Source organism: Homo sapiens, chromosome 3 (assembly GCF_000001405.40).
Source record: "Homo sapiens chromosome 3, GRCh38.p14 Primary Assembly".
Classification (NCBI taxonomy): domain Eukaryota; kingdom Metazoa; phylum Chordata; class Mammalia; order Primates; family Hominidae; genus Homo; species Homo sapiens.
Genome location: NC_000003.12, coordinates 179,309,060 through 179,312,478, shown reverse-complemented (window position 1 = coordinate 179,312,478; position 3,419 = coordinate 179,309,060). Strand labels below are relative to the sequence as shown.

The following is a 3,419-nucleotide window of genomic DNA, read 5'->3' as shown; positions in this document are numbered from 1 at the left end:
GAAACCCTGTCTCTACTAAAAATACAAAAAATTAGCCCATCGTGGTGGTGGGCGCCTGTAGTCTCAGCTACTCGGGAGGCTGAGGCAGAATGGCATGAACCCGGGAGGCAGAGCTTGCAGTGAGCCGAGATCGCACCACTGCACTCCAGCCTGGGCAACAGAACGAGACTCTGTCTCAAAAATAAATAAATAAATAAATAAATAAATAAAATAAAATAAAAATAAAAATGGAGACAAAACCATTTATAAAGAGAGATGGCCCTTAAATGTATTTTTTAAATGCTTAAATTAATTCATAAGAATTTGAATATAAATTAAAACTACCTTGAGCTCTCACTTCTCACTGGCACATTGGCATAAATAAAACAATTTAGGCTGAGCGTGGCGGGCCAGGCTTGTAATCTCAGCAATTTGGGAGGCCGAGGCAGGGGGATTACTTGAGCTCAGAAGTTCAAGACCAGCCTGGGCAACATGACGAAACCCCAATCTCTACAAAAATTAGCCAGACGTGGTGTCACGTGCCTGTAGTCCTAGCTACTTGGAGGCTAAGGTGGGAGGATCACTTGAGCCTGGGAGATCAAGGCTATAGGGAGACGAAATCATGTCACTGCACTCCAGCCCGGGTGACAGAGTGAGACCCTATCTTAAAAAACAAACAAACAAAAAACCAAAAACTCTTTTAGAGAGATTGTAGGGAAATAAGCAATTTCATGAATGTAAAATGATACACCCCTTGACGCAAGATTTGAACAATACTAGCAAAATTACAGATAAATTTGCCATTTGATTAATAAATCTCACTTCTAGAAATTTATCCTTAAAACACACTAGCATGAATATGAAATCACATATGCACAAGGTGTGTTTGTGTGTGTAAGTGTTTTTATGTGTTGAAGCAAAGATTATAACATGCAATTTGGTGCTCATTATGTGAAGAGGAAATGCAGAAGATAATAGTATTTGAAAAATGGAGAGGGTAAAGGGACCTAAATGAAATTCGGCTTCTACATTTCACTCAAAGTGGTCAAACATCAAGTGAGTTTGTCAAACACCATTCATATGAGTAGGCTATGGTAAGTTGCATATGTATATTGCAATAACTAGAGCAAACACTAAGGAAACTACACAAAAAGATATACTCAAAAACACTACAAATAAATCAAGAGAAAAAAATTAAAAATCAAATAACCCACAAGAAGTTAAGAAAAGAGAAACAGAGGAAACAGACAGAAAACAAAATTTAAATAGCAGATTTAAGCCCTAACATATCAATAATTACTTTCAATGCAAATGGTCTAAATATGCTATTAACAGAGAGAGGTTGTCAGAGCAGATTAAGAAAATTGATCCAACAATGTTATGTTTATAATAAATTCACTTCAGGCTGGGCAAAGTGACTCACACCTGTAATCCCAGCACTTTGGGAAGCTGAGGAAGGAGGATCACTTGAGTCTAGGAGTTCAGGACGAGCCTGGACAACATAGCGAAGCCCCCATTTCTAAAAAAACAAATACAAAATACACTTCAAATTTAATGGCATAGATACACTAAAAATAGAAAAAGTAAAACAACTTAATAGATATCTATTTGATTTTTTGTAAGCTTTTGCTAACATTATTTATAGCAAGCAACAGTTCTTATCAAATATCTATGGATAGTACAAATTCAAAATTATTTTTGTTTTCTGCCAAATCCTTGATCCATTTTTAAAATAAGGCTTCCAAGCCAGGTGTGGTGGCACATGTCTGTAGTCCCAGCTACTTGGGAGGTTGAGGCAGGAGGATCGCTTGAGGTCGGAGTTCAAGGCTATAATCGCACCTGGGAATAGCGACTGAACTCCAGCCTGGGCAACATAGCTAGGCCTCATCTCTAAAAAATAAAATGAATCTTTTATTTTTAGAATAGCTTTAGATTTACAGAAAAATTGCAAAGATAGTACAGAGAGTTATCTAATACTTCTCACTTAGTTTTAACAATTATTGACATCTTACATAACTTCGGTACACTTGTCTCAACTAATAAATCAATATTGATGTGTTATTATTCACTAAAAGCAGTATTTACAAATTCATAAAACAGCCTTCTTAAATTTATGAGAGAGAGAGGGAGAAAGAGGAGTGTTGATAATTCCCATCTCATAGGATTATCCATGTTAGAAAATATCAACATTATTTATAAAATGCACATTATATGCCTGTGGTTATGCTACTCACTGAGGAATACAAAGCTGAATAAAACAAAGGTTCTCAAAGATTACGATAAACTAATAGTCTTCTGGATTGGACATGTTACTGGGTGGGGGGATGCAGGGTAGGGAAGTTTTCTTGGAGGACTTGTAGGAATCAGCTAAGTGACAAAGAGGGGGAAGTTTATTGGCCAAAGGGAATGCATAAATAAAGACAATGAGTAACATACATGTCTTGACATTTCTGGAAGAAGGGGTTAAATTTGAAATTGAATGTGTTTAGAGACAGGCAAAATGGGCAGGGACCAGGTCTGAGAGGGTTTTGTATGGCTTATTAAGAAGCTTAGACTTTGTCTTATAGCCAACAGGAAGCCATTGATAAATGGGGGAATAACCATTGCATTTGTATTCTAGTACAAGCAACAGTGCATTAGCAACGGATTTCTAGCCACAGTGATGTGGAATAAGGGTTGTTTCCCTGGAGATGGAAGAGTTAGAAACTATTGCATTGTTCTAGGTGGCAGAAGATAAAGACTTTGAAATAGATCAATGGTATTAAGGACATAAGAACCAGACAAATTCAAGAAATAGGAAGTGAAAGAGTCAGAACTTGGTTATAACAGAGTGTTTGGAGGTGAGGAAGAGGGAACAGTCTAGAAGGAATTCCCAGAGTCTGGCTTGTGTGACTAAGTGGCAGATTAACTGGCATAGGTAATGCAGGATGGGGAGCAAGTCTGCTGGGGAAAGAGGATGAGTTAAGTTTTGGTCTTGTTGAATTTGATGTACAGTTGGAGTTTAGTAGGCAGGTCAGACACTTCATAGAAGGAGCCAATCTGGGGATAGACCATATACTGTAAATTCATTGTCATAGCTTATTTGCATAGCACAGGGTTTCAGATTTATTCATTTATGATTCCTGTTTCAGTGTATTGTCTGCTAGTAACACTATCAGGTAGCTGTTGCAAGTGATAGAAATTCAATTTCAACAGTAACATATTGGTTCACATACAAGTGGGAGAAAAAGGACACAGAGAATGTAACTTGTGTCAACATTAGAGGGAGAGAGGTCATGAATACTTCAGAACCTGCAAAATGGATATATTTAATACAAGAGTTAACTTACTTAGCAGACCACAGAAAGCCAAGTTCTGTCAAAGTCCACCAGCCAGGGATCACCAGGAACACAACTGGAGTTAAACAAGTTATGTTCATTTAGTTTGCTGCAGCAAGGGAG

The 3,419-nt window shown here is 37.5% G+C and overlaps 1 annotated feature.

Annotated features, from left to right (window-relative positions):
* Positions 2,736-2,785: an enhancer, noted in NCBI's record as "active region_20863". NCBI's record gives its function as "activates an Ori minimal core promoter by ATAC-STARR-seq in GM12878 lymphoblastoid cells {active_cell/tissue: GM12878}" and the evidence as "EXISTENCE:reporter gene assay evidence [ECO:0000049][PMID:35858748]".